The 12961-nt window shown below is 37.7% G+C and overlaps 1 protein-coding gene across 14 annotated transcripts in view; it reads right to left on the bottom strand.

Moving 5' to 3' along the window:
• The window catches only part of HHLA2 (HHLA2 member of B7 family), an 81738-nt gene that overhangs the window by 15145 nt on the left and 53632 nt on the right, over window positions 1-12961 (bottom strand). For 12 of the 14 annotated variants that reach the window (XM_047447369.1, XM_011512362.3, XM_005247080.4 and 9 more), the window contains 5 exons: window positions 11264-11353; window positions 9361-9714; window positions 7760-8026; window positions 4980-5297; window positions 695-799 (listed from right to left, as the gene is read on the bottom strand). In XM_047447369.1, the coding sequence (XP_047303325.1) occupies window positions 695-799; window positions 4980-5297; window positions 7760-8026; window positions 9361-9714; window positions 11264-11327 (1108 nt within the window). In that variant the 5' untranslated portion in view covers window positions 11328-11353. The remainder of the gene's footprint in view (window positions 1-694; window positions 800-4979; window positions 5298-7759; window positions 8027-9360; window positions 9715-11263; window positions 11354-12961) is intronic. The other 2 variants (NM_001282559.2, XM_011512367.4) reach the window with 2 other exon arrangements.

The raw sequence follows: 12961 nt of genomic DNA, 5'->3' as shown, positions 1-12961 counted from the left end.
AAAGTACTTCCCATGATCATGGCATCTTAAGATATTTTAAATTACTGGTAAGATTTTTTGCCTAAAATTTAGAAAAAGATTAATTGAACAACAATTAAAATGAAATGACCCATAAGAAAAGAACAATGCAGTTTCAATCAGAGCACCAACCTTGACTAAACTCAGAGCAAGGGAGAACAGGCAGAGCCCAGGGGCTTAAGGAGGTATCTGGCTTCCTTCTGAGGTGTGAGGGTAAGGAAGAACTCATGGTCCTATCACTCCAAAGGCAACATCTTAAAGCTTTGGCTTTTTTCTTTCCAGTTACTTTTCAATGCAGGATGATTAAGTCATCCTGGTTATCATTTTAATACTAGATTAAAATTTTAAAAAGTAAAGTATGATCTTTAATTAATTTCCCAATTATTTATTGAAAATAGTAGGAAACCTAAAGGCAATAGCAGTGTGCTGCAGTGAATATGCTTGTATATAGTTTGGTGTACCTCTGCTCATTTAATGTGAGATAAATTCCTAGAAGTAGAATGGTTAGGTGGAAATGTAGGAGCATTTTAAAAGATTTTGGGTGAATTTTGTGAATGACATTCCAGAAAATTCAGATCAATTACATGCCCAGTAGCTGTTTGGGCATGTATTTCCATGTTATCTTTAATATACGTGATGTGGAACACGTGGGGCAGAGCCCAAATTCTTCTATTACCTCTGCAACATTTTACGCTCCAAATCAGCAGAAAAGCTGCCAAAATCGCAGAGGGCACCAAAATCCATAAGCCTTTGTTATGGGAAGCTGTTTCTTGGCTCGGTTCTAAAAAAAAAAAGGAGAAACAAAGTCTGTGAACTGGAAGAAAAATTACCAGATAAGAAATGTGTGGGTGGGTAAGGGTGGAGTATGTTTACTATTTTAAAAACTAGTTATTTCTGCATTACAGGTAGGAGGCTGAATTCATATGAAAACACTTTGCATAATAAAAACGTCCTTTAGGATAAAGCCAAGAGCCCAGACTGGACAGGAGAGTTTGTCTTGAGCATAAATATCTCCTAGTCTCAGTGTATCTATTGTGGGAAACCTACAGATACCATAATATTATTGGAGATTGGTGGAGGTGGGGGAGCTGGGAGAAAAGTCTGAAAACTGGAGAGGTAATACATCTATTATGCATTTTCAGTTTCTATTGCTTTATACTGTAATAAGAAACAACACATTTTTATAAAGGAATAATTATGTCCATAAATTAGCCTCAGCCCAGTGTTCACCTTGGAGGATGAAGTAAGAGTGCAGTCTGCCATTGGCCTAGAGAAGACAGGGTCCTAAGGGAACAGTGGTAAGTTCAGAGGTGATAAAAGGAGATGAGTAGAAGCCCTGGTCTTGAGTTAGAGGTGGCAGGTGACCACAGAGATAATAGGCACAGTAGTCCCCCGCCTTATCCCTGGGGGATACATTCCAAGTCCCCCAAGTGGATGCCTGAAACCTTAGTACTGAACGCTATGCATACTATACACTAATTTCTTTTTCCATCTTCACAGTTTTATAGGTAGAAGATTCTTTCTTACTGTAGATCTTAGCAACCTCGACATAGGCTCTTTTTTCCTCTTGAGAGCTTTCCCTTAAAGGAAGCACTTCACGGCTTCTTTTTGGTGTATCTGAACTGCCAGCATCACTATTCTTGTGCTTTGAGGCCATTCTTAAATAAAATAAGGGTTACTTGATCACAAGCACTGCGATATCATGACAGTAGATCTGATTACCAGGAGGGCTAACAGGCGGGTAGCATCCACGGTGTGATATGCTGGACAAAGGGAGGATTCACCTTCAAGGCAGGATGGAGCGGGATGACATGCAATTTCATCATGCTACTCAGAATGGCACACAATTTAAAACATTATTTCTGGAATTTTCCTTTTAAAAATTTCAGACAGTGGTTGACTTTGTGTAACAAACTGCAGAAAAGGAGGACCTGCTGATAGTGTTTGGAGCTCCTCAGAAATAACTGGAGGAGCCTAAACTTTCTCCAGCATCTTGGTCAGGACTAGAATTGTTGAAATTAGTATTAATGGAAATGGGGACTCCAGAGACCCTGGGTTACCAAAGTCAGAACCCTGCTAACCTTATGGTCTATGTTCTGCTAAAACGAGGGCAGCAAGCATTAGAGCACAAAGGTCAATTCAGGGGGAAAATGTTTGTGGCTATCCTTTAGAATGAATACCTCTTTTTACATAACAAATGTAATTTTCTATGAACATACTATAGTGTTTTACAACTAATAAAATATTAATCTCTCCACCTATTTGTGTCATTCTGAAATTCCACGCAGGAGTCCGCTTTATCCCTGGTTTAACTTTCTGAGGTTTTAGTTACCCATGGTCAACTGTAGTCCAAACATAACCAAATGGAAAATTCCAGGAATAAATAATTCTTAAGTTTTAAATTGTGTGCCATTCTGAGTAGCATGAAGAAATATCGTGTCACGCCACTGCATCCCACCTGGGACGTGACTGCGCCCTTTGTCCGGCATATCCACGTTGTACACACTACCCCCATGAATCATTTACTAGCCATCTCAGTTATCAGACTGACTGTCATGGTATAACAATGCTTGTGTTCAAGTAACCCTTATTTTCTTTAAGAATGGTCCCAAAGCACAAGAGTAGTGATGCTGGCAATTTGGATATACCAAAAAGAAGCCATAAAGTGCTTCTTTGAACTAAAACAATTAAAGCCCTTGACTTATGAAAAATCATATATTGAGGTTGCTGAGATCTATGGTGAAAATGAATCTTCTATCTGTAAAATTGTGAAGAAAGAAAGAAGAAAATTTGTGTTAGTTTTGCAGTCACATCTCAAACTACAACAGTTATGGCCACAGTGTGTTGTATATGCTGAGTTAAGATGGAAATGGCATTAAATTTGAGGGTGGAAGACATAACAGAAATGTGTTCTGGTTGATGATATGTTGCACTGGAAAGCTTTGGGCTTATATGAAGACTTCAGCAAGAGATCCCTTGAAACAGGCCATTTATTGCAAGTAGAGGATAGAGGATGGCTACACAGATTTAGAAATCAGCTTGGACTGAAAAATATAAAAATTACTGGAGAGGCTGTGTCTGCTGATGAAGAAGCTACAGCCACATTTCCATCTAAAGCAAATCTTTAATTGCAATGAAAGCAAGCTCTGCTGGAAGAAGATGCCCAATAGAACCTGTATTCATAGAAGTGTGAATGAGGCACCAAGGCATAAACATGGAAGGACAGATTAATCCTCGTACCATGTGGGAATGCATATATAGGGTTTAGTACTGTCCATAGTTTCAGGCATCCACTGGGGGTCTTGGAACATATCCCCCAAGGAAAGGGGGGACTACTGTACCTATATAAAGGAGAGATTAAGTAGGAATGTTAGGTTGACTTTCTACAGGGTTTTCATATGCATTTTTCTTCCTCCTAAAGGAAATCCTACAAGGTATAGCTACTTCTCACTGTACTCGTGACCCTCAGGTTCCCCCATCTGTAAGGATATTTGCCCAAGGTCACATATTGATTCAGCAGCAGAACTTAGCAAGGATTATTTAATTCCATTCAGCTTGGTGCAACCTTAATTGAGCAGATCTAGATTCGAGGAATCATAAGTACCCCCCATCTTGTTGTAGCACCTCCTGGGAAAGGCAACAAATGGAAAAGTCATCCTTGAAAGGATGATATTTAAGGTACCAAGACTGTTTGCCCTGTTCCCTGGCCTGCTGGGGTGGCTCCTGCCAAGTCCTCTTCCTCGTGGGGAAGGGTGAGCACACCCTCCCCCAGCCCCACCTGGCCAACATTTATTTGAGAATGAGAGGTTCTGAAAATACTCTTTTGTCAGAGATGGAATGGTCCTGATGTTTCACTTTGTGTGAACTGAAAATTAGATCTCTGGGTGGGAAGACGGGCCATATGTAGTCTTTAGGACATTTCTTCTTGACTATTTTTTTTTTTACACTCCAAAATTAATCCAACATGAGGCAACATTTTTAAAAATAGATTGCAGGCTTAACTGTATTTTACATAAAACTGACACTTTTATTTTTGGAGAAAAATAGGAGCTTCAAATGCAGCCCCAGTTTTTCATTCTCTACTCTCAAAGTGGCAGCTCTACAAAGGGAGTGTTATTACTCAATGTCCAGAAGCTTCCAAGTATTTGAAGATCACATAACCTAAAGGACAACTCTGTGCTCTTGTCTCCAAATCTCACTACGTAGAATCACCAAAACTTCAAATGTTATTCCTCCTAATTTTCACAATTGAAATGATAGAAATATTTCTAAAACATAAGTTCCACTGGTTCAAATACCTTTATTGAAGGACAGAAAGAGCTGCCATGGTCTGCCATGATGTGAAGTTGATAGTTTAAGGGTGGGACCATCCAGCTCACCTAGAAGGTCAGCTTCATGAGTATATATTCCATGACTTGATGGTTAGTTGACTAGAAATATTTTAGATAATGGTTTTTGGCAGTGAACTATCAACAGAGGTAAAAATGAACTGAACTAGGAATATATACTTGGTGCTTCAAATATTGTGTGGTGACTATTTCCAAGTTCATAGACACTGTCATGATTTCCCAGCATTCTTCAGGACCCCGATTGTAACTTCCTAATGTGTCTCTAGCCTTGAATCCCCAAACCCTAGGCCTAAGGTATATATTAGGCACAGCAGTGAGCAGAAATGGAAGATGCTCAGCGCATGGAGTCATCAAAATGTGTTTCCTCCTCATTTCTGAAGCCCCAAAATCCTGAAAGGAAATCTGTGGGAGTAATTTTTTTTTTCAAAACAGGACTTTTGTGTGGTTGAAGGAGGGAGGGTAATCGACATCCTGACCAGAAATATCCCTGTGGATTATATTTTGAGAGGGTATCAATGTATTCTTGAAAAGTCAACCTAATTTTCTCTTTGATATTCACAAACCTCTAATGCTACAGCCAAAACCCATTATCCAAACCTACTTGCAACTTACCTACATGCACTGTGTGGATGGTAAGTAAAGTATATTCATCCGAAGAAATATTGCATAAATATTCCCCACTGTCTGAAAGATTAAGATCCATCAAATTCATAGAGAAGTCACTCTGGTTTATCAGCTCTTTGTTCCATGAGAATCGGGATTCATTGATAATTGTATTTTGTGAGGAGCTCAGATAGTAAGCCAGGACAGAGAAAGTCCCACTTTTCATTCTGGACCAAGTAACTTTGAAGTCTTGGTTTGGTGAAAAATAATCATTTACAGGTTGACATGAGAGTGAAACGTGTTCACTTTGCATTTTATGAAGGCCATCTAACAACACAATAGAAAAGAAAACATCAATGAAGATAAACATTTCAAAAGAATTCTCTAAGTTACACTTAGAAAGCAGAGAACAAAGGCACTAATACTGATATATTTGGAAATAACTTTTTGGAAAGTAATTATATTTGTACTGTGGTTTCTTAAAAGACAAGTTTTACTACCACTATTTTAAAGTTTCCCACCAAGGTTAGTTTAGACCTTCAAGGAGGGCTAAGCCAGGGCCAGCTAGAGGGGTGATATACTTGTTTTAACTCTTAGAACCTGACAGTAAGCACTCAGGAATGTTGCTACCAGTTACTAGCCTATTAAACTCAATGTTCTCCTTCTCTTGGCCCCTCTAATGCTGGTGGTCCCCAGAACACCCCTTTTGGTACCCTACCTACTCCCTAGTGGTCTCTAACTTTTATGGCCTCACTACTTCTTAATCTCTTTTTCTAGACAAAATCTCTTTTTCTTCATATAAGAATATTTCCAGCTGTGTGCAGGCAACCCCCACTGGACTGAGCTCTTTTAAAGAGAGACTGCTGAATTTTCTTGGCTTGCCCCTCCAGACCCAGCTCCATCTTGTCCTTCCCGTTCTGTAGTGTTGTAGGCTGACCTCTATGGACTGTCATGGACTGTTCCCCCTGGCTCTAGACTCACCTGGCTTCCAGTCTACCTGCAGGAGAGTGATGCCAAAGTAAGCCCTCCAAAAGGCAAATCCAGGGCCTCTCTGATGGTTCAAATCCCTCTTCTGATCTATCCTACCTCCAAGACTCAACAAGCTCCTTAGCAACGTGTAAAAGGTCTTTCATCTGTTTTTGGCCTCCCTCTCCAGGTTCATCTCTTGATCCATTGATTCCACAAATCCAGGCAATTTTACTTTTCTGTGCTTTTTACCTGGAATATTCTTCTTCTCCTGGAATGTCCTACTACTCTTCTAAAATTCTACCCTTATGCAACTTTCTTAAGCACATATTCTGTGACAACCCCATTCATGTCCAACCACAGAGAATAGAATTAATCACTCCCTTTGTAAGCTATGTTCCTAGTTTAATTTTTATATTTGTACTAGATGCTGTGGATCCAGAAATCAGTAGAGACCATGTTCTTAAGTTCACAGTCTGTGAGCAACAAAACTTGGCACGTAATAGCTTTTCAATGAGACCAAACAGTACTGAGCCTAAAGAACTGTTCATGCTTCAAGACACTCAATTCTAAATGAACATGAGAAATTAGGATTTTCCAAAGGCAATATTTATAATATTAACATTTGCAACCCTTTCCCATGTTTCCATTGCTGCCTGACTGATGGAGAATGAACATTGGGTACTCATGCCTTTAACACTGGACTCATGTAAATGTGGTGAATCACCCACAATTTCAGTATATTTTTGGTGAGCATTTTGAGAATATGAGATGCTAGGAAAGAGAAGACTGAAAAAAAAAGATAACCTCCATTTTCCCCCTATAAGGGAGACTGACAGAAAATTTTTGCTTTGTTACTAATAAAATGAAAAACAGGCTGGGCACGGTGGCTCACGCCTGTAATCCTAGCACTTTGGGAGGCCGATATGGGTGGATCACGAGGTCAGAAGTTCGAGACCAGCCTGACCAACATGGTGAAACCCTGTCTCTACTAAAAAAATACAAAAATTAGCCACATGTGGTGGCATGTGCCTGTAATCCCAGCTACTCAGGAGGCTGAGACAGGAGAATCACTTGAAACTGGGAGGTGGAGGTTGCATTGAGCTGAGATCATGCCACTGTACTCCAGCCTGGGCGACAGAGGGAGACTCCATCTCAAAAAAAAAAAAAAAAAAGGAAAACAAATTTTCTTGGACTTGGATATGGAGATAGCAAATTACTTTTTATTAAACAGGTTTTGGATATAGAGATTGATCAGAGTTTGGATCTGTTCAAATAAATGAGAGGAACGAGCGCTAAAAACTGACCATGTTGTGATAGAGGTGTTGGATAAAGATTGATGGGCTAATACTATGTAAAGAAACTAAAAAGAAGCAATAATACTCATTAATATTTTGTTTAATTGTAAGATTGGAAGTTGTGATCTGCTGAAAGACAAGTATTCTTTCTCCTTTGATCTTTTAAAGAGCAATGCTGGTAGAAAATCCTGTTTGAAGGATGAGCCATTGACAAATACATTAATATTCAAGAATAGATTTGCTTCTTTCCACTTCATGAATGTTTTCACTCAACTCATAAATACATAGCAAGGTAAGAATTACTTCTATTTTATCAATGAGGTACTAATGCTCAAAAGTAAGAATGATTGCTTAATGTAATACAGCCAGAAGAACCAGCCCTAGGGCTTCGGTCTTGGTCTTCTAACCGCTGCAGATGGATTTGCTTTCTTTTCTTTCATCTTCCTTTCTTTTTTTGCAAATCAGTCCCCATTACCCCCCAACTTTGAAACAGCACGTGTACACAGAAAGTCCTGTGGAGCCTACCTTTCATCGTCCAGCGCCCTGTCCATGTTTGCTTCAGCAGTGAATTTTCAATTGTACATTCATAAGATGAATTTGATCCTGTAATATTCAGTGGGCTGTTAATAGAAAAAGAATCCAAAGACCCTGTTTCTTCCATGTTGTTTTCAGAGATAGGTGTGTTGTCCATTTTCCACGTGATAATTGGACGAGGATAAACACTTAACACGCTGCATATTAAGAAGCTGTTTGTGTTCCTCTTTTCATACTTCATCACGGGTGTGAGAAAAACTACATAGGAGAAAGAAGGGCGCATGAAAAACTGCCATCATTAGCTTCTTTATAGGCCGTCTGTGCAGAATACTTTTTAATATCCATGAAATGAAAAGCTAAATTTTATGAGCAAAACTTGGCAGTTACTGAAAGGGAAAACAAACCAACAAACACACACCTCTGTAGAACCTTAAGATATAGTGTGGTTATCTAGAAGAAATAAAAAAAGAGCAGGCATGGGTATGTGGCAACTAGCAATCTCAATTTTCTAGAAACATAGCTGGAAAAGAAATCTAATGGCCTCATTGAAAAACCAAAATGAGGATGTCTAAGTCTATAAAGTAGAGTTCATGCGGCACTCTACACTCCTCAAATACTGACTCAGAGCACCTATTTGACTGTTTACACATAATTTTGTGATTTCTGAATCAAGGTCTGAAGCAGCTAAAAGGGACAGAAGAAAAAGAAACAAGTGCTGGGAAAAACAACCCATTAGAAAATACTGCATGTATGTGTGTGTGTGTATATATATCTATATGTAAGATTGTTCTATATATTATAATGCATACTAACTATATTGCATATAAATGATCAGCAGCCTGATCATTAACAGAGCACATCATCAGGAACTCTTGGTAATCCGGTAATTAGGAGCCATGAAGCTCTTTGAATTTCTTCAGTTTTAATCTAATACCTGTTTGGTTCAATGTAACTATGAGAATTAGCAACAGTTAATATATTAATACAGTTAATATATTATATAGTTATATTAACTGTATAATATAACCACCATGAAGCTCTGTCTGAGTGATATTAACTGTATATAACTGTATGTATTAACTATATTAATGGCTTATAGTTATATAGGTATAGTGTTATATATAGCTAATACAGAGAAGGAAAGCATATAATATAAAATTAACCTCATTTATAATATAGAAAAATGCAATTTAAATCAGCAATTCAATATTTTTTCAGTCATGATATTGGCAGTTATTTGGTACTGATAAGACTAAGGGGAAAGTGGATAGTCTTATGCTGCTAGTATCAGTAACCCATTTAAATCTTCTGGTACTTTGCTTTCAGATTATTTCCCAGTATTAAGTACAATTATAAGGATGTTCATCACAACCATGTAATGTAAAACACTGGAAATGCCTGAATACCCACCAACAGGGGAACAGTTGTATCATTTATAACATTAGTATACTACAAGTTGCTGTGCGTTAAAAATAAGTAGATTTCCATGTATTGACTTGGAAGGAAGCTCATGGCATATTAGGAAAAAGACGCTTACTAATAACATGGAATGATGTCATTGCTGTTTCATGAAACTTTACATGCACACTTACCTCCCACCTTTAGCACCACTTTGTTTGTAATCACTTGAATTGCTGTTCCTACATAGCAGGTGTAAATTCCTTCGTCCAGAAGGCTTACTCTTCTGAAAAATAGCGACGCATTCCCATTTTGAATCTCATTATAGAAAAGGGATGTCCTGTTTGCATATCTGGGATCTTGGCTTTCCAAATGGTCACTGCCTTTGTAGTAACTGTGAACCTTATAGCTATCTTGATACTTCCAGTGTATTACGACTTCGGATCCCCTCTCAAATGAAGAAGGGAGAATTATATCTTCATCAAGTCTTCCAATGACGATTTGTTCATTCATAGGAACATAAATGAAGAAAGCCAAAGGGAATATGCCTACAGTCAAGAGCAGAGAAGTTATAAAGAGAATTAATGCCATGTGCTTGTTCAGGATTATACCAGAACTACCCAGAAGAACTATCCTAGGTTAGCAGCCTGATTATTAGTAGACCACATAATCAAAAACACTTGTCTGATTATTAGAAACAAACCTGTGAAGCTCTGTGTTTGAGTTTTAATTTTAATTGAATATCTGTTTTATGCAATGTAACTGGGAGAACTGGTAACAGCCCAAGGCATAGAAACACTGGTTTGCTGCCCACTTGATCAATAATCTTATCTCTCTTCCAATCCTGGCCTGGAAATCATGTATGTTAAAAGACTCCATTGGATTTCATTCCCAGAACACATTCACATTTAACTCCTACTATAGCAACAATAAATTAGTTTATCCAGCTAGCAACAGCCAGCAGGCCCTAAAAGAATGGAATAAACTCAGCTTGACTGGGTAAGAAAATATTTGGAGCACATAGAAGACAATGCTGGGTTCAGGAATCTGATATCTGTACACTAGATCTAAATAGGGAAGGACATGAGCAGGAGGAGTCCAAAAGGGAAAGAGAGTCATTCATTTGCTTTGAGTTTAAGACTGCTCTCAGGATATCCTGAGTTGGTCAAAATGTAGGTAAGGAATATCTGGAGATAAATCTGGAAGCCTAATCCCCAATTCTCTTGATTTACTTATTTTGTTTTGTTTTCTTTTCACTGTCAACTTCACAAGTTAATTTCAAAAAGCAAATGAAATCAACAGAATAAGAGATTTTTGCAAAGAAAATATACCCAGACACTTCCTATCATTGAAGGAGGTAATCTAACTGCTTTGATTTACAAAATATTTTAAGTAGATCTTGTGCCCTGTCTATGGATTCTAAGATATTAGCACTGGAAAGGACCTTATTTTTTGGACAATGGAGTAACTCCTTTGGCTCATGGCCCAGGCCACCCAAGATGGAAGAACTGCGTGCCCAAGTGGCTCTGTCACAGTCTTTATCCTCTACCTTCCCTTCTGGGGCTCTTTCTACCCTACCATGTCCCGCCTCTCTTCCTCAGAGAGACTTAATCTCTCTGCAGAGAGCTAGAGGGATGTGGCATCATGCTGAAAGAAAGACACAGAAAGATGGGAAAGGAAAAGAGTGACTGTCGATCTCTCTAATTGCTCTGCTAAACCCCTCTAATGTTTCACTGGATAATTAAGAATGCCTGTCATAGGACCTAGCAAAGCTGATAATGCCTTCTGTCAAGTGGTAAGTACCAAGCTTACACTTAAAAAAAAAAAAATCAATCAATCAAACTTGCCTTTCCAGTGAACTTACTTCTGGTAGCAGACAACAGATTAGAAAGAGTCTTAATCAGAGTGGACAGAAAAAATATATATAATTTTTAGTCTTCATGCAGACTTCCAGCCTGTTCCTTGCTTCTGATTAACTGATGATTTAGGAAAGTTCACGATGCTGTGGCTATGGAGGAAATAGCCACCTTGCATTGTGTGCTCATGTTTCTATCTGATAATGCAAATAACTAACACTTGTATTACAAACGAAATTACCTTGAGATCCACTCAGAGATGTTATGAGAATGAGGAAGAAAGACAGTGCTGTCTGTGCCTTCATGTCTTGTGCAGAACATATTAGTCATGCTATCAAAGAGAAGTAAAGTGCACATGTTATGGATTTAAAATGCAAAAGGGAATTGGAAAAGAGTGGTACATTCATACAAATAATTGTTTTGTGGCCATTAAATATAATATTGTAAAGGATGGTTCAATGGCATGGAAGGAATTTCTTAATAGGTTATCGGAGAAAAATTAGATTACAATACAATTTCTAAATAGCATGGTTCCTTTTTTAAAACATACACATTTCTGATCATAGGATACTGACAAGATATATGACTAAGTATATGAGGATGTTAATTCTGAAGAGCAGGTTTCATATCTGAAGCAGTGACTGCTATTAACAGGTGCTGAAACATGGCTCTTGAATGAATAAAGATTTAGTATATCTGCAACAGTGGTTCTCTGGATAATAATTTGTTATTTTTAAAGCTTTCTACATGGACACATTTGCTTTTATGATAGAAAATACTAAAACCAATTTAAATTCAATATTAAGTGCCAGTGGTGTAAACTATGATGTTATTTATAATCACACATAAAGAACAACTAAAACCTGAAAATATATTTTTACATATCCAATACTAGTGCAAGCCATTAAATTCATGGGTTACAAAGCATGTTTCAAAAACTCAAAAAAGTGAGAAAATATAGATGGCAAAACGTGTATACACAAAAATACAGTTTCAAGCAAGTACAATGTAACTGATTTTCCCAGATGATAGGATTAAAGTTAATTTTTACACTGTAAGAAATAGCTTGTTTAAAGAATAGCATACAATTGGTTTTAAAATCTCTAAAAGAAAGTTTTAAAGGTATCATTTGGTGGCTGGGCATGGTGGTTCACACCTGTAATACCAGCACTTTGGGAGGCCAAGGCAAGAGGATCACTTGAGGTCAGGAGTTCAAGACCAGCCTAGCCAACATGGTGAAACCTTGTCTCTACTAAAAATACAAAAATTAGCCGGGTGTGGTGGCATGTGCCTGTAGTCCCAGCTACTCAAGAGGCTGAGACAGGCAAATTGCTTGAACCAGGGAGGTGGAGGTTGCAGTGAGGCGAGATTGTACCACTGCACTCCAGCCTGGGCAAGACAGTGAGACTCTGTCTCAAAAAAGTAACAATAAAATAAAATAAATAAAAAAGATACCATTTAGGAGCTCTACTATTACAAGAATATATTCTATATTTGTTGTGAGGTATGTGATTTAAGAATGACTTGAAACTATTTTAAGAAGTGAAATTAATCATGCAATATACCCATGTAACAAGCCTGCACATGTAACTCCTGTTAAAATAACAATTTTTTTAAAAAAGTAAAATTAGATTCCTTCATCACATCTTATCAAAATAAAACCTGGTAGATTAATAATTTAGAGTTTCATTTTTACATTTTAAAGACTATAAGAAAGTTATTGAAAACACGACCTTAGGAAGAAGGCCTTTTAACAAAACTGTACATTTTCTATTATCTCTATAAAAATGGAAAAAGCAACAAAATATAGAAATACTTTTGCAATATGACAAAGTTATGAGTCCAATTGCTTTTATTTCTCTTAGAGCAATAACTAAGATAGTTGGTAAAGTCAAAACTGCTCCAAAATAGTATTAGTTATCAAAATTGAGACCTTTAT

This window comes from Homo sapiens, chromosome 3 (genome assembly GCF_000001405.40).
Source record: "Homo sapiens chromosome 3, GRCh38.p14 Primary Assembly".
Classification (NCBI taxonomy): Eukaryota; Metazoa; Chordata; class Mammalia; order Primates; family Hominidae; genus Homo; species Homo sapiens.
This window is presented reverse-complemented; position numbering and strand designations above follow the sequence as displayed.